General features: G+C 41.3%; 1 long non-coding RNA gene across 1 annotated transcript in view, besides 2 other annotated features; it reads left to right on the top strand.

The window, feature by feature from the left end:
- LOC100128993 (uncharacterized) overlaps window positions 1–19,256 on the top strand; it is a 61,849-nt gene extending 42,593 nt beyond the window's left edge. Inside the window, exons 4-5 of the long non-coding RNA NR_038919.1 lie at window positions 18,268–18,357; window positions 18,902–19,256. This is a non-coding gene — a long non-coding RNA (uncharacterized LOC100128993). The remainder of the gene's footprint in view (window positions 1–18,267; window positions 18,358–18,901) is intronic.
- Window positions 7,759–8,958: an enhancer, noted in NCBI's record as "CDK7 strongly-dependent group 2 enhancer chr8:19051482-19052681 (GRCh37/hg19 assembly coordinates)". NCBI's record gives its function as "activates an origin of replication core promoter dependent on BRD2, BRD4, P300/CBP, MED14 and CDK7 cofactors, with strong dependence on CDK7, by STARR-seq in HCT116 cells {active_cell/tissue: HCT116}" and the evidence as "EXISTENCE:reporter gene assay evidence [ECO:0000049][PMID:35650434]".
- Window positions 24,747–25,676: an enhancer, noted in NCBI's record as "H3K27ac hESC enhancer chr8:19034764-19035693 (GRCh37/hg19 assembly coordinates)". NCBI's record gives its function as "activates a minimal SCP1, AML or CMV promoter by ChIP-STARR-seq in primed H9 embryonic stem cells {active_cell/tissue: H9 hESC(primed)}" and the evidence as "EXISTENCE:reporter gene assay evidence [ECO:0000049][PMID:30033119]".

The raw sequence follows: 27,352 nt of genomic DNA, 5'->3' as shown, positions 1-27,352 counted from the left end.
CTACCTTTCTGCTTTATGAGTGCAATTGACATGCTCCGCGTTCAGATCTCAGATACCAGTCAGCTGCACTTTCTCTTTCAGACAAAAGTGTTGCCAATGTTTCTACTACTGCCCGAGTGTCACTCCTTATTTCCTTATTTTAAAGTGTTATTTTTCCTGGAAGTGTAATGGTTAAAGAAGTGACAGTAAATAAATAGGAGTTATTATTCCCTTTTCTAAGCTTCTGTCCTTAGAGACCAATTTTCATAACATCTCTTGAGCTCTCCATGTAAAATCAGTCCAGTCTAATTCACATCTCCATTAGTTATATCTGCTTTTGGCAGACAGCCTGGCTTCCCAGTTTTTCAGAAAAAAAAAAATCTATGAAATATCTTAATGCCTCCATTTCCCTCTTGTCCACTTTCAGAGTTACCATATATTCATCCATCCTTTTCTCCCTCCTATCTGAGGCAGAAGGAATCTTTACTTTCTTCAAAAATCAATTTTTTTTCAACTTTGCTAATGATCTTCCTTCTTTTCCACTTTCTCTGGGGATTTATTTCATTATTTTTTCTACCGTATTTCTCTCTTCTCTTTATTCCTTTCTTCCTTCCTATAATCATGCACAAATATTACTATTGTATAGAAACCTTCTCTAGTGTCACACTCTCCACCAAGTTACTTCCCTTTTCTTCTCCTCTGTTTCATTGCCAAGCTTCCTGGAAGAAATATCTCATCTCTCACTTACTTCTCAATCCTGGGAAACCTGATTTTAGCCCTCACCAGTTGGCTGAAATCGGATAGAATAGGTCATCCATGTCCTAACTGCCAAATCCATTATATTTGGGTGGTCATCTCACAGAACCTCACTGGGGTTCCTCCCTTGGGTTTGTGAGACAGCCCTCTTCTTATTGTCCTCTCACTCTTCCTAGTCTCACCCTCATCTTTTTAAATGTAACCCATCTTTCCCGGGGTTGATGTTAGGCAGGGCTGGGGAGGTGGAGTTGGCAGTGGCTCCTATTGTGTTCTCTCTGGTGACACGTATAGACATGGGTCATCACTTGGTTTCCATTTTCCCCTCTTCCCGAGAGCATTAGAGAAATTAAAATGCTTCAAAATATCTGAAATCCAAGTCCAGAAATTGCCATTTTTGTTTCCTGTCTTAGTCCATTTTGTGTTGCTATAAAAACACCTAAAGCTGGGTAGTTTGTAAAGATAAGAAGTTTATTTGGCTCATGGCCCTGCAGGCTGTACAAGAAGCATAGCACCAGCGTCTGCTTCTGGTGAGGTGTCAGGAAGCTTCCACTCATGGCAGAAGGCGAGAGGAGCAGACATCACATGGTGAGAAAGGGAGGAAGAGAGAGGTAGGGGTGTCTTGCTACTTAAAACAACCAGCACTCGCATGAACTAATAGAGCAAGAACTCACTAATTACCAATGGGATGACACCAAGCCATTCATGAGGGATCCTCCTCCATGCCCCCGATACCTCTCACCAGGCCCCATCTCCAACATTCGGGATCACATTTCAACGTGAGACTTGGAGGAGACAAATATCCAAACTATATCATTTCTCTTTTTGCCTTGTCCTAATAAAGGAAGGAAGTTACTTGTGGTGATAAAGGCCTTGGTTTTCACTTTGTTGTCTGCTGCCTGTTGAAATGGGTCAGAATATAAAAGGGTTTTTCTGAGGAAAAGTAAATGCTTGGAAAAGTTCTTGTTACTGGGCCTATTATATTAGTTCCCAATAAGAATTTGAGCTACACTGTGCTAATAGAGTCCATGAGCCCGCTGGTGTCCCATCTCTCAGTAGAGGACAGGGCAGCATATTCCACTCCAGTAGTCGTTGTATAAAATATATTTGAAGCACAACTCTCATTACAAGGTACGCAATACATTTTTAGTGTGTCATTGAGAAACATCCAGGAAATCACTCAGAGAAGCTTTCCTGTATTCTCTGAGCATATTCCCTTTAAAGGCTTCTCAAAGTCAGATGACTCATTTATGCTACAGATTTGTGTGTGAGGACCATAGTTACTTGCCTACGTCTCATTTCAGCCACGTCTTTCTTCCTTCCTCCTCCTCCCCTTCTTCTTCTCCTCCTACTTCTACTTCTTCTTTCCTTTTCCTTTCTTCCTTCCTGCTCATGTGGCTATTTATGGGAAACCATTAATAACTCTTGAAAATTTTCACGTTCAACTTTCTTCTAAAGAAGAAAAGGCAGTGGTACAAATACTGGACTGAAAAGGAAAAACTTCTTGAAAAGCCGCATAAAATGCCTGAGCTGGAAGTAAGACTATGTGCATCTCCAGACCCTGAAGGAGAAGAAACGCAGAAAATGGATCAGAGAAGCCCTAGTAGCTCCCAAGTCCTTTCCAGTCCCGATGTTATCTGTAAAGAAAGAAACCTAGCAACCCCAGATAGGTAGCTGAGAGTTTTAAAATTAATTTAATGTGCTGATCACATGTCTTAGTAAAGTTTATTTCCAGTACTTATTAAAAGCCCAGTTTACTGGTTTCCTTTTTTTTTAGCAGAAGTAAATATTTGAATTATATAAGGCTTAATGCTCTTTGGTTTTCCTTTTCGTAGACTTAATTTTTAGAAAAATGTGAACCCTTGATAACTTTCCAAGGAGCATTTACTTAGTCATGCTTTTAGGTTTTAAGAGATTGATCTGAAGACTCTTCCCTTGCTTTGCCTTATTTTCTACTTTGTGTATTGGAGGTGATTTCAAGGGTTTACAGTAGAATAAAACACAGCTCTAATTTAAAATGGAAGTGCCTTGGGTGGGAAGGGGTGGGTCATGTTAATGCTATTGTATATTGTTTATTCTTTCCATCAGTCTCCCAAATATTTCTACCCATTTATATCCAAACAAAAAGTTGTTGTTTATTTCTTTGTGTTTAGTTTTGTTTCACATTCCTTTTTTTGGTCAGAGCAGTCACTAATTGCTGTGGGAATTTAACTTGCCCAGTCTAATCAAATGCCATTGAGAGTCTGAAGCCACATAACATCCATCCTTTAGAATAATTCACAATGTCAACAACACGGACACAATGTCTTTTTTCTAGAATCAAACGTTTCTTCAGAAATTCAGTAGCAGACAGCAGAGAATTTATCCTTTCTGAGTTCTGTTTTCAGTGGAATTAATTTAAGATTTATGTTTTAAATACCTGTGGACATAGCAATTTCAAAATCAGTTATCTTGCTGAACAGCAGATCTGAGAACAGACAAAACATGTAAACTTTGGTGGTTTTCATTTGCTTAATTTATAATGAAGTTACTGTAATCAATCATAAATAATGACAGTGTTTTTCTTAAACTTGGCCTTGTATCAGCATTGCCTGGAAGGCTTGTTAAAACACAGATTGCTAGGCCTCGCCAGAGCTTCTTAGTGGTTCTAGAGAAGCCTGATAATTTGCATTTCTAACATGTTCCCAGGTGGTGCTGATGCTGTGAGTACAGAGATTGCATTTTGAGAACCACTATTCTAATTACAGTGTTACAGTATGATAATTATACAAGGTGCTTTAAATCAGTTTATATTTTCATTCTCTACTTCTGCAAGAGAAACTGAAAGATTAATGTGGAAATTTACAATTTTGATAAAGAATATGTACTGAGAAAAATTATATTTTTAAAAACCTAGTATCTCCTATGACTTCAGCATATCCAATACATCTGAGGCTAAGAAGCCAAATCATCTTTTGCTCACTGGCATGCTGCTAGGGGATATATTTCTGGTTTCACCTTTGCGAATGGACCAAGAGATGGCTCTCGCTGAGGCTGGAGGTGTTGGTATACACTCAGGAGTCCAGCTGCATCTTCAGTCTGGTGGGTCTATTTAACCTCACCATATTTAATGAACCATCATCTACCCGGACGAAAGGATTGCATCAGTGCATTCTGCTGCAGCCAAAGTACAGGACCCTATGTGTCTTTCTCTGAACATGTTACCTTTGGAATTCAAACACAACTAGGATCCCCTGTGTCACTATTTAAAGGAGTAGGGCAAGAGTGACCCAGAGTGTGTTCTTGGTTTGTTTGTTTGTTTGACTTCACTTTTTAAAAAAATGTTAGGTATTTATGGCTTTTGAAGTACCTTAAGGATGCCAGTCTTCTCTTTGTTTGGAGAATGTTAACTCCAAACAATGTTTCAGCTTCTTCTTAAAAGAGATTAGAGATTTAGGAGCTGTCCCAATTGCAAGCTCAAACATAATAAAAAGAGAAAGCAAATAGTGCCGCAATAAACATACGTGTGTATGTGTCTTTATAGTAGCATGATTTATGATCCTCTGGGTATATACCCAGTAATGGGATTGCTGGGTCAAATGGTATTTCTAGTTCTAGATCCTTGAGAACCAACCCACATGTCCATCAATGATAGACTGGATTAAGAAAATGTGGCATATAGACGCTGTGGAATACTATGCAGCTGTAAAAAAAGGATGAGTTCATGTCCTATGCAGGGATATGGATGAAGCTGGAAACCATCATTCTGAGCAAACTATCACAAGGACAGAAAACCAAATACTGCATGTTCTCACTCACAGGTGGGAACTGAACAATGAGAACACTTGGACACAGGGCGGGGAAAATCACATACCGGAGCCCGTCATGGGGTCGGGGGAGCGGGGAGGGATAGCATTAGGAGGAATACATAATGTAAAGACGAGTTAATGGGTGCAGCACACCAACATGGCACATGCATACATATGTAACAAACCTGCACGTTGTGCACATGTACCCTAGAACTTAAAGTATAATAATAATTAAAAAAAAAGAGAGAGAGAAAGCAAAGACAGCATCAGTGTAATTGAGCCAAAGGGTGTGGCTTTGGATTGCCCATCGATCAGTCTGGTAGCAGCGTGCAACAGCAGGAAGCTGTGCCGCATCTGTCGCATGTTGATTAAGCAACTTAAGGAACTACAGTATCACTTCTGGCACTTGCCATACTGGGCTGATGGACAACAATGGAGCTGGTTTGAATATGAAATGCACCCAGCAGCCGATGTGCTTAAATATAGTTTTTTTCTGATCATTTTCTGTCATATAATCTATAACAAGAGTTTAAAAGAGCTGCGTAGTTCCTATTGCTTAGACCTGGGTCTATGGAAGCAAAGTAACCTGAGGTAAAACTTGGAGAAACAATGAGACGTTATTACATTGGGTTATGACTGTCAAGCATTTTTCTTCTTTGACCTGCCCCATCTGGATGGCTTTCTTTCATTTTTCAAGTAGGAATTGAGTGCAAAGGTAACAACTGTCGTCAAGAAGAAACAAACAACGCAAAGGAAGTCATCTTAACATTATTCTCTTTTCTTCACCTTTTAAATCTCTTTTGCTCTGCCTTCTAACTCTTCCTTTCACCACCCAATTCCTCTTGTAACATGTAAAATGACTACAAAGTCATACACTGTTCAAACCACAAATAAGAAACAATCCTTTTCTTTTATAGCTATCAATAGAATGGATGTATTCTCAATTATATTTTCCAGGCTTAGTCTCTCCCTTTTTTCTTTCTCTTCTGTTTCACACTGGACTGTTATCCAGTTTTCCAACAAATTCCCAGGTTACTTTCTTTGTTACACAACTGTGTATGCTCAAATAATGTCTCTTACAACTAGCCTCTCCAAAACATAACTTAAAAGTTAAATTATCTGCAAACATTGCAAACAAAAGCCAATAAGTGTGTATGATTTTCTTGTCTTTTTTCTTAGAGACAGAGATTTTGCTCTGTCACCAGGTTGGAGTACAGTGGCACAATCATAGCTCACTGCAGTCTCCAACTCTGTGCTCAAGTGATCCTCCTGCCCTAGCCTCCTGAGTAGCTGAGACTACAGGCATGCGCCGCCATGCCCAGTTTTTTGTTTTTTTTTAATGTTTTTTTAGAGATGCGTTCTCACTATGTTGCCCAGGCTGGTCTCAAGCTCTTGGCCTTAAGCAATCGTCCTGCCTCAGCCTCCCAAAGTTCTGAGATTACAAGTGGGAGCCACCACACCCGGCCCCCCTTCTAGTTTAATGTAAAAACTGAAAGATTGTGAATGTATTTTAACATTTGTTCTTAACCCAATGGTTTATTTAGTAAACCACATTGTAACAATATTTATTGAACTTGACAAAAGGGTAAATTATTTTCCCTTACAAATTCTAAGGCTACAGTTTTACAGTTATTTTAAAACAACATCCTTTGAGTGTGCTAAGACTAAAAACTAGTGAACAAAGCCAGCTGAAAACTGAAATAACATGGATTCGATTTATTAATAAGCTATTAACAAATAGAAAATAGCCACCAGCTCATACATATGTGCTTGAAGTAGGAAAGACAAGGCAAGAAATTCTCTTTCTTTTGTAATCATTTATATGTGGAATTACATAAACATCCCATAACAAATTCAGCTTATCTCCACATAATCTACAGTTTTGTTCCAGCTTGATGTCAGACCTAAACAGAAAATTTGTAGGAGTAATTACTCAGGAAGGAGACCAGCCGTGGTGTTCTATCCTGTTCTGAAAATCACTCTGAACAATCACTGTTGGGCAGATGCTTCTCCCAGGACGCACTGCGGGAGGTGCAGGTGGTGCCGTCCTCCATGGCCAGTTAGACTCATGTCACACCCTCCCATGTGGTAAGGGCATCCTTCCCATGTTTGTGGAAAAGGGGCTCCTGAGAGCTCTGAAAGGTGATGGAGGGCAATGTAGGAATAGGTTGGAATTTTATAGAAAATATATTTTAAGGAAACAGGCTCTCTCTCTATATGTGTGTGTGTGTGCGCGCGTGTGTGTATATATACACACACACACAGCTATATATACACCTATCAACTATATATATGTACACACATACACACACACACACTTAGGTATATATATGCCTATGTATACCTATCAGCTATATATAAACCTATATACACCTATCAGCTATATATATATACACACACACTCTCAGGTATATATATATACAGATACATACACACACACACTCACACATACTCAAGTGCATATACAGGGCTCGGGTTGAGCTCTTTTGATCAAGGCTTTTTCCGATCCTGCTGGCTTGACTTAGAAGACATTGCTTGTCCTGCCAGCCTTTCGGGACAGTGGCTTGGGGTCTTCATAACTTTGTATATAACTTGTCAGAAAGAGATATCATGGTGGTATATATCAAACATGGGTTTTTCAATACAAAGAAAAATGAGAGTTTTTTTTCAGGGTGTGGGGAGGCACTTAACAGTTACTCAACAACTACATATTGATTGATTTAAATGTACCTTTTAATTAAAAAAAAACCTGAGGCTGGCCTGGTGGCTCATGTCTGTAATCCTAGCACTTTGGGAGGCCTCCTAGTGCAAGAGGATTGCCTGAGTTGTGGGTTTGAGACTGGCCTGTGCAACCTAGTGAGATCCCATCTCTACAAAATAAACAAACAAAATTAGCCAGGCATGGTGGTGCATGCTTGTAGTCCCAGCTACTCAGGAGGCTGAGGATGGAGGATCACTTGAGCCCAGGAGTTTGAGGCTGCAATAAGCCATGATTGTACCACTGTACTCCAGCCATAAGCCATGATTGTACCACTGTACTCCAGCCTGAATGACAGAGCAAGACCCTATCTCTATAAAAGAACAAACAAAAAAAATTAGCCAGGCATGGTGGTGCATGCCTGTAGTTCCAGCTACTCAGAAGGCTAGGAGGCAGTAGGATTGCTTGAGCCCAAGAGTTTAAAGCTGCAGTGAGCTATGACTGCCCCACTGCAATCCAGCCTAGGCAACAATGTGAGACCCTGTCTCTATAAAAAACTTTTTAAAAATCTGGCATTCACTGGTTTTACGGCTGCTTCAAAAAGAAAAAATTAGAAAACCTGTTGTTTTTTCCTGTGGACTTAAGGATTGGAAGAGCCTTTGTGGCAGGCTGGTGGTAAGGAACATGGAAGGGAGCAGGTAACTGAAGAACCCCAAATCCTTAAGAACATTTCCATTCTATTTACCTATAATGCAGATTTTTGATACTGAGACATACTGAGTGTGGAAAGAAAAGAGCAGATATTACACACTCACCATGTGAGAATGTCACAGACCCAGAAGCTGTGATACCTGCTATTTCACAGGCAAGGAGCAGTTGTAGACTCCAGGGGGGAGGCGAGTGAGGTACTCACCATTGGTGCCAACTTCCAAGAGATACCAATAAGTTCAGTCATCCAGATAAATAATATTTTAATAGATGTGAAATTTATTTAAGAGGGTGATGAAAACCCTCGTCATTCTTCTTCTTTATCTTGATGACTAAAACTTTTGGCATGCCCTTAAATTTTGTGTCCAAGGCAGATGACTCCTTTGCCTCTTCCTGGTCCCATGGAGGGACTCTCTACATGGATTGGACTCATGAGAAGAAGAGAATTAATCTACTGTGAAGAGGGTTATAGAAAGCAGCATTCTCAGGCTGGGCACAGTGGCTCACACCTGTAATCCCAGCACAAGAGCCCGAGGTGGGCAGATTGCTTGAGCCCACGAGTTCGGGACCAGCCTGGACAACACAGCGAAACTCTGTCTCTACAAAAAAATACAAAAATTAGCCAGGTGCAGCGGTGCGTACCTGTGGTCCCAGCTACTCTGGAGGCTGAGGTGGGACAATCTCTTGAGCTTGGGAGGTGGAGGCTGCAGTGAGCCGAGATTGCACCGCTGCAGTCCAGCCTGGGCAATAGAGCAAGGCCTTGTCTCAATAAAAATAAAATAAAATAAAAGCAGAGTTCTCAGAGAAGGGCCAGGGAGGCTGTCCTGAACTGGTTTTTAATTTGTACTGGGGACGTCTGAGGTGTAATTATGTCAAGTATAAATGACTCACAGGATGTTTGAAAATGTAAAACAGAAATTTTATATATTCGAAAATATGGCTAGGAAACGTAAGCTTGACTTTAACTTGGGTAGTGGGTTCAAGGGTGTCCTCCAAAAAGATAAGTCCATGTCCTAATTACTGAAACCTGTGAATGTGATGATATTTTTTAAAAAATGCTCTTTGCTGATGTGATTGAGCTAAGGATCTTGAGATGAGGAGATCATACTCTAGGGCAGTGGTCTCCAACCTTTTTGGCACCAGAGACTGGTTTCCCGGAAGACAATTTTCCTTGGACAGGGGAAGGAGATGAGGGGATGGTTTGAGATGAAACTGTTCCACCTCAGATCAGGCATTAGAGTCTCATAAAGAACACATAACCTAGATCCCTCGCATGGACAGTTCACAATAGGTTTCACGCTCTTAGGAGAATCTAATGTCACTGCTGATCTGACAGGCAGTGGAGCTCAGGTGATCATGCTCGCTCGCCTGCTGCTCTCACCTCCTGCTGTGCAGCCTGGTTCCTAACAGGCCATGGACTAGTACAAGTCCTCAGCCCAGGAGTTGGAGACCCCTACTGTAGCATCTGGGTGGGACCTAAATACAGTGACAAGTGTCCTTATAAGGCTGAGGCAAAGGGAAGTTACACAGACAGAAGATGAGGTGGCAATGTGACCTAGAGCATGGAGATTGAGACCAGGCTCCGGCAAGCCAAGGAATCCCAGTGGCCACCAGAAAAGGAGACGCATAGATTCTCCCCCAGAGCCTCTACAGGGAGGCCATGCCTTGATTTTAGACTTCTGCCTTCTAGAACTGTGAGCAAATATTAATAAATGTTGGCTGTGTTAAGCCGGCAAGTTTGTGATAATCTGTTATGGAACCCACGGGAAACTAACAAAATATGGCAGTGAATTAGCAAATGATAGCATGGATGTTGTAACTTTCATGTTAGTGTTGGTACTGCTGCAGAAGTATTGTCATCTACTTATTCCAAAAGTCCTGAAATGAGACTGAGGCTGGGCCTTATGTAGGGTTACCATATATTTTATTGACCAAATCAGCACACTTTTGAGAAAAGAAGCAGGGACTACCAATGAATACAACTGGACCCCAGGCACAAACCATGCCTCTCCTGGGCCAGCTTCCCTGTGTGATTAATATCAAAAGCCATAAATTTTCGGCAAATTAGTCATCACTGGGATTTTGTATTGGAGCCACAATCTCAGCTTATTAATTACAGATGTTCAAGGAGTTTGAGTGTATGCTGCAGACATTTTGGGGTGTTTTTGTTAAAAGAACCAATTAGAAAATTGAATACTGAGTGGCCTTTGAAGCAAGGATTTTGTGTTACACTCATCACCATGCTGAGATATTAATAACAGCAGTGAATCTGACTGTTGGGGAAAGAGAGCTATGGAAACCTGAAGGAGCAGCAGTGTCTGTTTTGGAATATTGGCCGTCACTGTGGATAATCAGGAAGCCAACTCGCCAGTTTCTTCAGAGATGGCATAACTAACACACATGTCCACATTTATCATTAGCTGCACTATTTGCCATTCACTCGAAGTCTCATGTTGCTTTAATTATTAAACAGGCTGAAGAGCCTTAGCATTTGGGTAAGAAAAGTAGAACAAAAATACGTTTTTCTAATATTGAGGTGTACATAAGATCTTTAACTGAATGAAGTAGGAAAGAATTATAACTTCATAATCTTACAGTACTCTATATTTTGACTATGACATTCCTAAATAGAGCAGCTAGCTTTATGTTTTGGTATAGAAGTCTGAGTTCATCACAACAGTGCAAAAACGCTGGAAACTTCGATAATATGTCTGGTATTTCTCTGGCTTAAACTGTGCTAAACATGTAGCAATGAAAAAAAGTTTTCTTTATTTCTAAGGGATATCAATGAGCAACATCTAAGATTCAGTAATTCAATTAAAAATATTTCTGTGCAGCAATGATGTGCTTGGCACTCTGTTACACACTGGGAATGCAAAGATGTGGGCACATTCTCTGTCTGTCCAATTTTCTGCCTCTCCCTGCTCTGCACGCAAGGGGGATGATGCCACTGACGACTCCCTTGCCTTCTGGCTTCTAGTCAGGATGGGCCAGCAGACAGGAGCTCCTCACTGGGGATCTCGTGGCCTGGCTTCACCCTCTAGACAGGCCAAAGTAACTCCATCTTGGATGTTAATCCACCATGTTCATTTCTGGTTAACCCCAGTTCTGGGAATCTTCTGAGATTTCCAGTTTATCTGTTCCTTGTGTAAGAGCAGGTACTTACTGTAAATCCTGCCCTTAGGTCAAACAACCTTGATGTTATTGTACTTCAATTGTCCCATGCATCCCTTCTGAATCACTCTTTCCCCATGGTATATAAGCCCTGGGTCTGAAGGTTGATAGCACAGGAATCCACCATCTCGTCTCACTGCCACCTGACACACAAACATGGCTTCTGTCTGTAAGTTCCTAGTAAATATTACTAAGAATGATTTGTCAGCCTTTTTCTTTGGCCTCTTAGCTTCCTTAGACTGTAGGAATAGATTTGCGTAGACCTGTTCACTGTGGAACATCAGGGCTCATCTCCTGTCAGTTGGCAGAGCCCCATCCATCCTGCTTTCTGTGATTGTGGAAGGGTTCCAGTAACTGCCCAGGTCTTAGGGTTGGTAAGTAGGTGGGGGTCAGTGATGGTGAGGGGGGGTGAGAGAGGGGAAGGGGGAACACTCTATGATTGCTTTTATTTTCCAAATCCCAGCTCACATCTTTGTAAATAGTCCCTTTCTTAAACTCTCTCCAAATTACTAATGTGTGGGTGCCAGGACACTGACAGATGAAGAAGACACAGAGACGATATGAACTCAGCATCAAGGAAATCAATTTCTAGCTGAAAGAGAGAGACATACAAAGAACCAACTGTAATACAAAGTGAAAACTTTACAGTAAAGGCCTGTGCAAAAAGATGTCAGAGCAAAAAGGAAAGAATAATGAAGATGTCCTTGGAAAGGTAGCGGTGACAAGGGACAGAGTACTCTCCACCTAAAAGGTGGTATTTGGGCTGTTGGGGATGTTGGAGATGGTGGGATTCCCTTGCATCTTTGTAGATCTCAAGACCTCGGAGATCTTGGGCTGTTTAGGTGAAGATGGTGGCACAGGTTCAGGAAGAAAGAAGAAACTCCTCGAAAGCCTTTATGTCGGAGTTCCCACTTTTACTGTTTTAAAATGATGTTACAAAGTGAACTGAGCCATGAACCCAAGTCAAAAAGCTAGAGAGCCCTGAAGTTTTCACCAAATGTATGGACATAGATAAGTTTCCTCACCACCTCAGTCTAAACCACCGCATCTACCGAATGGAGAGGATAATTCTTACCCTTCCTCTTGTAGGAGTGCTGTGAGGCTCAGAATGAAATCATGTTTGTGAAAATGTTGCAGGACTACAGCCCCATATCGGTGTGGAGCATCAGGTATAGGTAAAGATGCAACAAAGGCCAGGCATGGTGGCTCATGCCTGTAATCCCAACATTTTGGGAGGCTGAGGCGGGCAGATCACTTGAGGCTAGGAGTTCGAGACCAGTCTGGCCACCATGGTGAAATACAAAATACAAAAAATAGCATGGTGAAACCCCTTCTCTACAAAAAATAAAATAATTAGCTGGGTTTGGTGGTGCATGCCTGTAGTTCCAGCTACTCGGGAGGCTGAGGCATGAGAATCACTTGAACCCAGGAGGTGGAGGCTGCAGTGAGCCAAGATCGTGCCCCTGCACTCCAGCCTGGGTGACAGAGTGAGATTCTGTCTCAAAAAAGTAAAAATAAAAAGTAAAAAACCTATAGACCATTTGTTTGTTTTAAATGTCCTTGAGTTTAGATTTGCCTGATGTTTCTTTTTATTCAACTTAGGTTATATATTTTTGGAAGGAACACAGAGTGATGTTGTGTCCTTCCCAGTGCATATTATCAAGAGTCATACAAGATCTATTTGTCACATTATTGGTGATTAACTTTACTTGACTAAAGTTATTTATGCCAGGAAAGTAGTATTTTATCTTTATTATTAATACACATCTCAGCCTGGCCAACATGACGAAACTCCATCTCTACCAAAAATACAGAAATTAGCCGAGCATGGTGGTGGGCGCCTGTAGTCCTAGGTACTCGGGAGGCTGAGGCAGGAGAATCACTTGAACCTGGGAGGCGGACGTTACAGTGAGCTGAGATGGCACCACTGCACTCCAGCCTGGGCAACAGAGCGAGACTGTTTCAAAATAAATAAATAAAAATTAAGCATCTTGTGTGGATATAATTTACTTTCATATATTTTTGGATTTATATAATGGAGAAGTGGAGGTCAAGAGTTAAGTTTACACAAGTTAAATTTGGAATTCAATAGGCAATCAAATATATCCATTTGAAGCTCAGAGAGATTCTCTAAGATAGTATGCTATAAGACAGATGACAGATTGAGTGAGTTGAAGAGAAAATAGTAGGTAAGGAAGTCAAGACAGCCTTTGTAAAAATCTATAAATTTGGGTTGTGATAAATCACAGAATAATGGGATTAGTAGCTGACAGAGGGTATGAGATCAAGAAAGGATTTCTTTTAATGTTGGGAAATACAAGAGCATTATGATATGCTGATAGGAATGGTCCCGTGGAGAGGGGGAGGTGGCTAGTGCAGCAGAGAGAGGAGTACAGAAGCAGTAGGGTCTCTGAGGCTCATTGTACTGTAGTCAGAAAGGGTAGATTACTGGGGTCCAACGCAAGCTCTGCCACCTCCAAGGTTACCTGTGTGTCTTTGGTAAGTCCATAAAACTCTTTGTACCTCAGCTACATTTGAAAAAGAGGATTGTCAAGAGGATTAAGTTAGATGATCTTTGTAAAGAACAGGACAGAGGCTACCTACATAAGTGCTGTGTAAATGTAAAGTTAAATATGATCTTGAGCTCACTGTCATTTCATATCTTAGAATCCTTTTGTGTCTTTGAACTGAATTCTGGGGGATTTCCTCAGGTCTTTCCTCTCTTGAATCGGATCTAGGTCTGTCATTGAACCCATCTTCTGGGTTTTTAACTTCAGTAGCTATATTTTTATTTCTAATTCTGTATAGATTCTGCTTTCTTTACTGGCCTAATTTATCGTATTGATTCTCTTCTCTCTCAGAATTTTTAATCATTTAAACATAGTTATTATGTAGGCCCCTTTTAATAGTTTCTAAGAAACTAGATTTGTCAGCCTTTTTCTTTGGCCTCTCAGCTTCCTCAGAATTTAGGGGTAGATTTGCATAGACCTGCTCACTGCAGAACCTCAGAGCTCATCTCTTGTCAGTCAGCACAGCCCCATCTGCCCTGCTTTCTGTGACTCTGGAAGGGTTCTAGTAATTGCCTACGTCTTGGGGTTGGTAAATAGATGGTAAATAGGTGGTTTAGACTGAGGAGGTGAGGAAACTTGCCTATGTCCATACATTTGGTGAAAACTTCAGGGCTCTCTAGCTTTCTGACTTGGCTTCATGGCTCAGTTCACTTTGTAACGTTATTTTAATATAGTAAAAGTGGGAACTCTGACGTAAAGGGCTTTTGAAGAGTTTCTTCTTTCTTCCTGCACCTGTGCCACCATCTTCACCTAAACAGCCCAAGATCTCCGAGGTCTTGAGATCTACAAAGATGCAAGGGAATCCCACCACCTCCAACATCCCCAACATCCCAAATATTTCAATTTGGTGGGGAGCACCTATTTTTCTGTATTTTTGTATCTGCTGACTTCCCTTACGTGATTCAGTTTTTTGTTTGTCTTGTGGTTTGTAAGTTTTTTACTGTGAGCTCATCCTCAGCTGAAGTCGTTTGTTCCTGTGGTTGTCCCAGGAGCCTGGGCAGGGGAAATGTCACTACAGATTTGTTTTGCATTCCCTTTTGCCAAATGTTCTGTGGGTTTCACTGGTTTGGGAACCATATTTATGTTAATTTTGCAGCTATGATTGGGTAAATCAGGGCTCTACAATTACAAGTGTCTTGAAATTGGGGTTTCATTTCTGTAGGATAATTTTTGTTTGTTTGTTTATCTGATGTTTTTCTTTTAAATCAGAGCCCTAATCAGTGATGGGCTAATAATAGCTTTTCTACTCCTTCTTTCCAGGGACTTAGCTGCGTACAGAACTTTCCAGTCTCAATTCCCTACTTTGCAGAGGCCCGAGATCACACCAAATTCCCCTCTTGACGTATTAAAATTTCACCCTTTTGGATCTGTATTGCGGTTCCATGTCCCCCTGGGCCAGGAGAGGTGGCTGGTAAGCCTAATCCCTCTACCTGAGACCTTTCTTGCTGTTGCTGAGACCTGGAGACTGTTCATTTGTTCTTTCAATTTTGATTATGTGTTTATAATTTTCTGTGATACTTTAAATGTTTCTAGAAGGGATGGAGTCCAGTTTAGTTCAAATAACCACATTGCTGGAGCCAGAACTCTGCTACTTAATATAGTAGGTATAGATCTATAGATATTGTAAAGAGAGCCAGCATGGAGATTTTCCTGAAGAATATGCAAACCATCCTTTTGTCTACAGTCTCTGAATTCGACTCCTAGCTTAAGCCAGATGAAGAGCTATGTACCAAGAATGTATCTCCCCAGGGCCCTGGTAGAATTGCTTTTCCTGACTTGCAGTTTGGCACAATACCCTCGGCTTATATAGGCAGACTTTAAAAGAAACAGCTCCATAAAAATCCCCTCTCGGCCTTGGCAGTAAGGATATTGTTGAAGACTACATTATGCCATTTGCTAAGACTACTCCCAAGTAACTGGATTGTTTTTATTTTATGGAAACTGTGATTGAATAACTACTAATGTTTTCCTCTTTGAATGGACTTACAGCCAAGTTTGTGGCCAACTTCTAATAAGAGTATAAGATTCTTGGCATGCGTTAGTGGATTTTAACCTGTCTTGGCTCCATCTCCTTTTACTATGCTGATGCTTATTTTCTCTTTTACTCTTTTACATACATTAAGTGTATGTTCTCTTGCTATATTTTATTTATGTCTGTAAACCATTTATTGTCTTTGACAGGGTGGGGTGCATGATGTGGTTTTGAATAAATGACATTAATGTGCAAAGTACAAAGCTAGCTGAATGGCAAATTGCCTTCTGTGAGTATCTTCTAGGGGCAGAAAATATTTTATAATCCAAGTGCCACAAGAGAGTTATAAATATCATAGAACAACAAGCAGCCATTAAAAATTACATTCTTGAAGAATGTTTAAAGAAATGAGACAGACGACAACAGCAAGCTATTTTTATAAGGTTCCTCCATCACACACACACCAGTGGGAGATAACGGGTCAATAACGGTGATCTCCTTTTGGTAGGATTCGGGTTGATTTTTAAAAACGTATTCTTTAGTTACAAAAGCTTCCGCAATCAACATGTATTTCTACTATAATTATAAAATGGAGAGAAAGATGAATACTGCTCTGTCTCTTTGAATCTCAGGAGGAAACAACATTCACCCCAAAGACTCAGATGAAGAGGCTTGAAGGATGGGATCATTCTGGTGTGTCCTGGGTTAAAGAATCAATAAAGGTTACTCAGGTGCCCAAAGATTAATAAGAAAGGGAGCTATTACGATGGTACGAAATGAGTAAATAGAGCTGGAGCCTGCAGTGGGGGCTGTTCCACTGGATCTGTCATCCCAGAGAAACATGTCAGCTTTCGGAGATGCTGCGCCCAAAGCAGGGAGGCAGAAGGAAAGAAATGCTGAGATCTTTCTCTCCTTTACCCTCTGTGATGGCTAATTTTATGCACTAACCTGACTGGGCCGTAAGGTGCCCAGATATTTGGTTAAACATTAATCTGAGTATTTCTGGGAGGGTGTTTTTGGATGTGATTAACATTTATATTGGTAACTGAGCAAAGAAGGTTGCCTTTTCTTTTTCTTTCTTTTTTTTTTTTTTTTTTTTTTTTTGAGACGTAGTCTCACTCTGTTGCTCAGGCTGGAATGCAGTGGCACGATCTCCGCTCACTGCAAGCTCCACCTCCTGGGTTCACGCCATTCTCCTGCCTCAGCCTCCCGAGTAGCTGGGACTACAGGCACCCACCACCACGTCTGGCTGAATTTTTGTATTTTTTTAGTAGAGACGGGGTTTCACTGTGTTAGCCAGGATGGTCTTGATCTCCTGACCTCATGATCCTCCTGTCTCGGCCTCCCAACGTGCTGGGATTACAGGCGTGAGCCACCGTGCCCGACCCTAGAAGGTTGCCTTTTCTTATGTGAGCAGACCTCATCCAATCAGTCAAAGGCCTGAAAAGAACAAAAAGTTGGACCCTCCTCCAAGAAAAAAAATATTCTTCCTGCCCGATGACCTTTGAGCTGAAACATCAACATTTTTACTACCTTTGGAGTTGAACTGAGATATTGGCTCTTCCTGGGTCTCTAAGCTGCCAGCCCTCAGCCTGGAAATCCACCATCAGCTCTCCTGGGGTTCCAGCTTGTTGAATTACCGTGCAGATCTTGGGACCTGTCAGCCTCCATAATCAAATGAACCAATTCCTTTTAATACATCTCTTCATACTAGTTTTGTTTCTCTGAACAACCCTGACTACTACATCTCTAATCTCCGGCTGGTGCCTCCCAGCTGGCAGGGGAGCCTGGGGGATGTCACTTCCTGGGGCTGAGAGCAGAGCAGAGGAGGAGAGGGTTCCCAGGGCTGTGTGTGTTAAGTGGGGGAGAGGGAACAAACAGAAGCAAATTCAGCGCTGTGGTAGTTCACAGAAGGAATAGATGGGGACCCAATGGAGAAAATTGTATGTAGAGGTGCAATTTAAGCTATTTTTCTGAGGATTAAGTGGAATTATGATTGAAAATTATTTAATAGCTATAAACTTCTACAGTATGCCAGCTCTTATTAAGACTAAGCCATATAGTACTGCACATTACAGCATGGTGCTACTTACACAACAAAAGTTATAATAATTATATGAATGGTTAACTCTACTAAATGCTTACCATGTGCCAGGTACTATGATAAATGCTTTACATGAGAAGCTGGATGTATCCTTTTTGACTATTGGATAACAACGCAGTAACACAGACCCCTTCACAGAGGCCTGGGTGTATACGTGCAAATCCAACAAGCTTTGGAAGAATAGTTGCCGTTTGCTCAGGAACTCTGAAAATAAGAGGCTCTAACCCATTTATGCCTGAGGTTGCAATTTTTTGAATTTTTGCAAATCAGACCTTGGCAATGACCTTGAGCAGTAGGATATAAATGACTCCCACATTTTTAGTGTTCCAATAATGGAACACCAGGTATAAATGGGCCAAAGATGGAGAAGACCACGCTGCTGTATTGAGTTTCATGTTCATTTGATACAATACCAGTTATTGCCAGAGCAACACTGTCCTTGCAGTCAAGCCAAAGCTACTTCATGTATTAAGAAAACAATGTCTGCAGCTTTGCACCAGGAATGGTTTATGTCCTTGCAGGAGGAGAAAAGCGGGGCAGCATCAAACCCCTCCCACTGGGGCAACCTGCTGAGCATCTCCCTGGCCTTGGCCCCTGGCCATACCACACAAGTAAGTAAAACCAAGAAGAAAACTTAGAAGGGTGTATGACTAAACATGTCAGTCCTGGAAAGAAGACAGGAGGTGCTCGGCTTTCTGCTGATGTGAAATTCTGTTTTGTCTGGGTCTTGATGAACCTTAAGGTGGTTGTCATCAGGCTGTCAGATGTCCTTAGGAGCCTTGATAGGAAGAGGGAAAAAAAAAATCACAAATGAAAACAAGTCAAGTTGAAAGGATTAGATTGTCCTCTGCAAAGTGATCATGCCCAGAACAAGGCAGGGGAAGCTTCTCTTTGCTGTCCCTGGGCCTCTAACAGGCAGAGCAAGTTCAAGGTCAGCCTGGGATGTACGTGACACCATAGTCTGACTCATATCTGCCCTTGGCTGGCTCTTGTTACTAACAAACCAAAAAGGAATATTGAAGCTCATTCAGGGTTCTCTATACCCAGGTCAAGCATGTTTTGTTTTATGGCTTACGTCAGGAGGAACACTATAGTCCACCTGAGCTTTCGTGGGGCATTTCAGGAGCTACCATTGTTGTTATCTCCTGAATTAAGGTGTCCAATGAGTCACTGATCCTGAAGAACAAGAGAAGACTGACCACAGACCCCAAAAGGAAGCAGGAGTACAACCTTCGAAGTTGGTGGGCAACAAGAGGTCAGAGGTTGACAAGCATCCACACAGCTCTAAGACTAGCATCATGTGGCTACCCAGGACCTGGGAGAGTGCTGCAGAGCAGGAGCAGGAAAGGGACCGGCTGTTCCCATAGAACTTCATGTCACAGGTCTGGGAGCCAGGGGGCCTTGGTTCTAGTCCCAACTCTCCCTCTAAGTTGTCTTATGGCCACAGGTGAGTGAAATAGCTTCTCTGGCCTCAGCTTCCTCACGATTAAAATGACACAGTTGTGCAAAATTGCCTCCAAGAGCATTCTCAAAAGCCAGAGGGTACAGTCATGACTCTCATAGCCTAAGATAGTGGGCCCTTAAACATGGCTTCCTGGTTTCTTTGCCACTGGTGGAATCTTTTAAGGGAGGAGCAGAAAGCCTCAGCTCCAGGGCTGTGTCTACACTGCCTGGGGCCTCTTGGATTCTGATGAGTCTGTGGTTAGCTGACCTCTAGCTCTGGTCTAAGAGAGTTTTGCAAATGGCAGACAAGTTGTTGCTGGCTTATCACATACCATGGCAGACATCACTGATGGATCATGATATTATTTTCCTCAAAACCCTTCTCCACTCACAGCCCCAAGCAAATGCTATTAATTAATTACAGTAAGCTTACTAGATGAAACCTGTCTTCCCTGCTCTTGTCTCTTTCTTTCCAGTTTAACAGGCTTCATTGTACAGCATCCAAATTAATTGGATTTTTTGGGAAATTCAGTTATTCTATGAGATGACACATTTTTTAAAAAAAGTAGGGCTTTAAGTGATTGAACTCTTTAGGCAATAGTCTTTGTTTTTAAGTATTATATTAATGAAGAAATTTGTCCTCATAATTTGGCATTGGGTAAACAAGGATCACAGAATTGTGGCATTTGGCAAGAGAAACAGGAAACGTGTTGGGCCTCCAGTTAGTCCCCTGGAAGAAGCATCCTGAAGTTACTCATAACACATTCCGTGATAATACTATTTTCTTGGTTCTGAGTAATGATGTTACTTGCATCTCTTTCGGGATATTTCCATAGCCTAACGGAGTTTCACAACATCTGGCTCTCATTATCTTTTACTTAATTTAACTTACTTGGTTTAATTTAGATTGCTTTGTGCCCAGCTACATTATTCACTCCGTCCTTGTAGGTACACGTAACAATTATTGAGAGGCAGCTGTCACATCCCCACCCAAACTGAGCTAAAAATTCTTCTGGATTTGTAAGTCACAACTGGGTTAAAAATTCTCCTGGGCTTGTCTTACATCATCGACTCTAATGTTTTGATACTCTTTCCGGAATCAGTTCCAGGTGATCCATGCTATAATTACCATAGCATCCTACACTAGGACGTTTTTCTATCACTGTCAACATGCAAAGTTTGTGTATATTCTTGATTCCCATTCACTGCCACTTTGAATTTTGCCTAATAAAACTTGTTTAACTTTTCATATTCTTTACTGACTCAAAGATAGTTTCTTCCATAATTCACAGCAATGAACCAAGACAATGAGAAGTAGCGAGTACAGTTGAGGAGGCCTTGTCTGAGGAGGAGGCAGGTTTTCATGAAGATGCAGCAGATCATCTGGGAGAAATTGAGAATGAGGAAGGACTTGATAATAGGGCATCTTAGTTCTGCTGAACACTCCTGAATAAAGGGGAGGCCACAAGTCCCCACATCTGGATAAGGAGCCCAGTTGGTGGGCATGGAACGGACCTTGACACAGAAGAGAATGGAGATATGGGAGCCATGTCCTGGAACCCTGGCTTGGTGTTGAAATAAATTAGAAGCTGACTTGCTGTGCAGCTGGTAAAGCTTCCACTTCGGGGCCCTTCAGTTGCATGGGCCTTTCCCAAGACCCCAGGGAAGGGCTTAGCAATATGCTCACATGGTCTGATGTTCTTATATGCAAACAATTTTTTTAGAGATATCTTAAATATGCTTGCTCAACACCTCTGTCCACTTCTGCCTTCCCTCCATCCTTCTTCTTCTTGCCTTGAGTGTGTTTGGAGATCATGGGGGCTTTGAGGCTCCATCTAAGAGGAAGTTAAATGGAAGATCCAGTTAGCTGGGTTTCATGGGATATATTTGTGAGGTTCACAGTCACTGTTGTGTCGGGTTAAGTTACTGCTAGCTGTCCCAGTATGGAGTAGATTCCAGGAATACTCCTGAGGCCCCCGTGCTGACCTGCCCTACAGTGATGTGATTGTACAGGGCCAGGTCATACCGTGATCAGGACGTGGCCTGTGTACTGGCACTGTACGGCTGGATAGTGGAAGAGAAGCTAGGATAAACATGTGCAGACCAAAACTGGTCTGTGGAAAATTCTCCCTATCATCAGACACGTACAAAGCTAAGCAGAGGATTCTGTTTTCAAAACACCTGCTCAAAACGGAAGAGCTCTCCTGTCAGTAGACACCATCATCCACTGTCTAAAACAATAAAAGTCCTGTACAATATTTTCTTTGTTAATGGACATCAGTGAAATGACTTGTTCAGGCTTCTCAAGTGTGTAGAGCACAGACCTATGCCAGTACTACAAACAGGGAGTGAGTTCGTGTGCAAAGTTATATGCCTTATGGCCGGGTGTGGTGGCCCATGCCTTTAATCTCAGCACTTTGGGAGGCCAAGGCGGATGGAACACTTGAAGCCAGGAGTTCGAGACCAGCCTGGCTAACATGATGAAACTCTGTCTCTACTAAAAATACAAAAAAATTAGCCTGGCTACTCGGGAGACTGAAGCAGAACTGCTTGAACCCAGGAGGAGGAGATTGCAGTGAGCCAAAATCACACCACTGCACTCCAGCCTGAGTGACAGAGTGAGACTCTGTCTCCAAAAAAAAAAAAAAAAAAAAAAAAAAAAAAAAGTCATATGCCTTAGGCAACTCAGCACGTTGCGTTGCATCTCCGAATATCTTAATTTATCTTGTCTTAACAAAGTCTGGTGGTTCCAGAGGAAACAGTGTGCAAAATAGTTACTGACACAAATGATCCACTGATAAAAACTCCTGAGCTCCATCATTCATAATTAGACAAGGTATATAGAAGAAGATTTGATTAAACAGTAATGCAGCTTCATACAACCATGCAACATTGTAACGATTTAAATGCATTAAAATTGCTCTTCCGTATGCCTTAATTTCAGATGAATTTGGGATATTTCTTCAGATTTATGTTCATGTTAAAATTCAAATAATAAGAAAGAAATAGCCTAGTGGAAGCTCAAACTGTAAACTGAAAGGGAGAAGACTGACAGAATTGAAAATGTCACAAACTCTCCTATATGTCACAGTAGAAACTTGAAAAACCAAAACAAACAAACAAACAAAAACTCTGCTGGTTAAAACTCATGAGGATACAGAAAAAAGTTAAGAATGGCAAGAATATATAGGTAATCAAAATGACACAGAAGAATTTAAAAAGATGATGATGGTCAGGACACTCTTAAATGGGAAAGAAAAATACCAGAATATTAAATATTAAAATAAAAGTGAAGTAAAACACAATTTGTTCAGTCAAACAATACGCAGAAGCCAATAGCAGCTTCATTTGACAAATTCACTGACCTTGACAAATACTGTGATCTCCCTTTACAGCTTGTTACACCATTTAATGAAAATGTAGTAGGTTTTTCCCTCCAAAATTATTATCCCAATAATACAGAAAATTAAACAGAACACACAGGCAATTTTTGAAAAGAAGTTTTAAAAATAGGTATTCTGGAAAAAAAACTAAAGATGATCAAACTATGGTGATATTCTGGCTGGCCTATTCCAAGACAGCCTGTATTATTTTTGTTTGTAAGTGGTTTTCAATGAGACAGATGTCTGTATCAGGTCAGTTTTTAGATTGGGTGAATACGTTGAGAACCTTCAAAAGTCATAAAGCATAAGATGGCTATGTTTACTTGGATCACATATTGAACAAATAAAAATGTACTAGGCCAATGTCTTAAAGACCAGACAAAGAAACATAGTATTATTTTGATTGCTAAAAAGAGTTATGTTTATTAATCTTTTTTAGTGGAAGCTTTGTTTTTCTGATGTCACAGTGAAGACTGGCTTTCTTCAAATAATTGAAATTTCATAGGAATCATTTAGCCAGCTACTGAAGGTGATTCATTCTTGAGTGAGCAATTAGGCATTTTAAAACAAAGTTACGTATGTATCCAAAATAGCTTATACAATAGTGACCAAGTAACTGGGAATTGTATACAAAATGAGTTAGACAATCAAATCAGTAAACCAGATACTACTCCATTATTGTAAATCTACATTGGATATGACAAATACTTATAAGTTGGTGATAATCGTGCATTACTTTTTTGACAGAAAACCTTATGCATGGTTTTTAACTTTTTTTGCCAATTGAAAATCATCTATCTGCGAATATAATCGATAAAGGTAAACAAGTAGTCAATCATATGATGACATAGCCATTATGAAAGGCAAATACAAAAGGCTGCAAGCACTCTTTCAAAACATGAATAATTACATTCCGTAATCTCTTCCAAGAAAAACCTGTCTCCACAGTACTGAAGCTGTTGATTACTGCAGTATTTCTAAAATAGTTAATATGTTTGCTTTTGGGATTTGTCTAGTATAATAGAAATTTAATGTGAGCCACCATTAAAACTTTCTTCTAGTCACATTAAGATGAATAAAAAGAATTAAAGAAAGAAATAGGGCCGGGCACAGTGGCTTACGCCTGTAATCCTAGAACTTTGGGAGGTTGAAGCAGGCAGATCTTCTAAGGTCAGGAGTTCAAGACCAGCCTGGCCAATGTGGCAAAACCCCCTCTTCACTAAAAATACAAAAATTAGCTGGGCATGCTGCTGCATGCCTGTAATCCCAGCTACTCAGGAGGCTGAGGTAGGAGACTCATTTGAACCCATGTGGCAGAGGTTGCCGTAAACCAAGATCACGCCACTGCACTCCAGTCTTGGAGACAGAGTGAAACTCTGTCTCAAAAAAATAAGTAAAATAAAATAAAATAAAATAAAATAAAACAGTTGAAATTAATTTTAATGATACATTTTATATAATCAATAAAAATATAGTTAAATAATTAAAGTATATTTAATGATTACATTTAATTGTATTTTGCACAAAATTCAGTGTGTATTTTATTTCAAGGCATGTCACTTCTCACCAGCCACATTTTAAATATCTGTTGAAGTCAAATAAAATATAGAAATGAATCTCTAAATTTAAAACATTTTACTTGGGAAGCAAGAATTGCAATTCAGGGCATATACACAGACCAGTGGTCCTCATTCTGTCTGAAGAACAAAGAGAAGGTTGGAGATTTTATAGAAAGGAGAAATGCTATGTATTGTTTTGAAAAAAAGTTCATTGGCACCAGGCAAGTTCTGGGAAGCTGACAAGTTCTGATTGGTGACAGACTACGGTGGTGGGTAAAAGTAGTCTTAGAGCTGTAGCAAGTTGTTTCAGTAGCTGTCAGATAAAACTGGTTTCCAGTTACAGAAGGCAGTTTCAGCAGCCTGGCTTGCAGGGAATTACATTCTTGGAGCCAAGTGGTATTTCCTGAGTGCTTTCTCCCCTTGGCCTCTCAACTCTGCTTTACTTGGATATGCCCAGAATGGCCCAGTTCGTTGGATCAATTTTCACATGTGGCTCATGGTTACCACATTGGACAGTGCAGGTATAGTAGTTTGTGTGTTTTAAACACATATGCCAACTTGGATTTTTCTTTAATGGATGCAAATGTGGTGAAACAGTTTGCCCATTATAAAGTTGTTCAAACTTTGCCAAAGGGGTGTAAGCGAATAATGAGCTAAATTCAATGCAGGGACCAGGCTGACTTCTGGGCCTGCACGTGTCTCCTGTGTCACTTGAGGAGCCACACGTGATGAAGATGATCAGAAAAGTGTAGCTCGTTGGCGCCCTCAGAGGGGTAGCCGGGCAAGAGTAGCAACACTGGGGCAGCAGTGAGAGCTGGTGACCAAGCAGCTGAGCCACAGGCTCTTAAAGGGGGCACCCTGAGCAAAGGTTACAAGACTATAGAGGAGACGTCCAAAGCACATGAGGGAAAAGAGGGGCCACTGAGGACATAACTAGCTTTACTGAAGGCCAATGAGGGTGTCCCGGCACCCACTTGATATTTTGTTCTGAGTTCTTGATATTGAGTTCTGACAACTCACCGAGCCTCAGAACAAACCGCAGTTTAGGTGTCATTACCCTGAATTTACAGACAACTCCAGAAAAGCTCAGGACAGCTGAGTAATTTGCCTGACATCACGCAGCAAGGAGTGCAATCTGAATTGGAGCCCAGATCCGTGTTGCTTCAAAGCCTCTACACTCCACGCTGTGCCATAACACCCCTTTCAGAGAGTGTGGTGTTCCACTGGGGGTCTCAGGAATCAAAAACACAAAAATGACTCCCACACTTTGATAAGCACGTCCTCACCTCTGGCGTTGCCTGAAAAATAGAGGGTTTTCTTGTTACCACTGTGCTTTGGATCAAGAATGGCCTGGGAAATTAAGGATTACCCTGTGGCCGGGTGCAAACAAATGCAAGAGCAGCTGCTTGGCGGGCCTTATAAGGATTCCTCTCATGCTCTGGTTTCTAGAAACGCATTGCATCATACCAGCGGGGACCACCTACATTGCTCAGTATTCCTAAATTCCATTTGAAGCAGCACAACTCTTATTTCACTCTGACTTTTTGTTTCCAAGAGCTCTCCTAAAAAATTAAGTAGGTGGAATTTATGAATCTTACCTTTTCTCTCTCTCTCTGATAGATAGGCTTCTTAAACAGGAAAATGCTTCTAAATGTAACTAAAAGCATACGTAATTGATCTCAATTGGAATGAACAGTAGCTAAGTAATTAAAAGCTCATTATGTCCTCCTGGGCCCTTCTGTTTCTGAGCATTTTAAACGTTTTTTCTTATCACTTAAATGTGGATTTTTCCCTAAGTGTTATGTCAATTTATCATTAAAAATACTTAATCTGGCCGAGTGCAGTGGCTCACGCCTCTAATCCCAGCACTTTGGGAGGCCAAGGCGGGTGGATCACCTGAGGCCAGGAGTTCAAGGTCAGTCTGGCCGACAAGGCGAATCCTCGTCTCTCCTAAAAATACAAAAATTAGCCGGGCGTGGAGGTGCGCACCTGTAGACCCAGCTACTCAGGAGGCTGAGGCACTAGAATAACTTGAACCCCGGAGGCAGAAGTTGCGGTGAGCCCGGATTGCACTACTGCACTCCCGCCTGGGTGACGGAGTAAAACTCTGCCTCAAAACAACAACAAACAACAACAACAACAACAACAACAGAACAAAAAAACAAAACCCAAAACTTAACCCATTCCACATAGCGTTCATTAGTTTACATACCTGACTTAAAGTCAAAAATTTTTAGCATGACCATTAGTCACTGATCTATGTGGCCACTGCTGGCATGGTCATATAGAGCAACTTTAAGACACTGTCTACGTATACGGCTCACTGCTAGTGACTGGTACATCATTATCTGCATTGCCCAGAGACAGAGACCCAGGCCCTGAAAGATCACGCTATTTTGCTTGAGCCCTCTCATAAATTAATAGCACAGCCGAGAACTGACTTAGGTCCGGACTTCTAATGTGAGTTTCCTCCATTGAGCATGGCTTGGTTCTCAGCTCATGGAGAGAAATCCTAGGTTCACAGATATATCAGAGATGGCAGCTGATACTGACAAGGAGTTTTGTCCTGTTGTAATGATTATGTGATAAATATAGTCAACATTTATTAAGCAGTAAAAATGTACCAGGCCTCTGTTAAGTGTCTTACGTGCATCAGCCCACACAATCCTCACACGCTATGAGATAGGGCTAGTGTTTCCCCAATTTTCTCTTGGGGAAATGGGGAAAGAGAGAGGTTAAATAACTTGGTTCAAGTTCACTCAAGTAGTGAGTAGCAGAACTGGGACTAGATCCAGTTTTGTAAACAAAAAGAGCTTTTACCACTGGGAGCTACAGGCTGGACATGCAACGTCCTAGCATCACGCTGGCCCTGTAGTATAAAATGGCAAACGTGCCTCTTACAAAAAGATTATTTCAGGTCCATCTCACTGTCTTTAGAGACCTGACTATTGAGTCAATTTTTTTTTCCCCGGGAGGTCATTTTCATACTTGAATGTTACTGTTTGGGATCATAAGAATCAACTCTGGACTGGGCGCAGTGACTCACGCCTGTAATCCCAGCACTTTGGGAGGCCAAGGAGGGTGGATCACTTGAGCTCAGGAGTTCAAGACCAGCCTGGCCAACATGGTGAAACCCCATGTCTACTAAAAACACAGAAATTAGCCATGCATGGTAGCAGACACCTGTAATCCCAGCTGCCTGGGAGGGTGAGGCACAAGAA

The sequence above is a fragment of the Homo sapiens genome, chromosome 8, assembly GCF_000001405.40.
Source record: "Homo sapiens chromosome 8, GRCh38.p14 Primary Assembly".
In the NCBI taxonomy this organism is placed as follows: domain Eukaryota; kingdom Metazoa; phylum Chordata; class Mammalia; order Primates; family Hominidae; genus Homo; species Homo sapiens.
The sequence above is the reverse complement of the archived record's forward strand: the minus strand, read 5'-3'. Positions and strand labels throughout refer to the sequence as shown.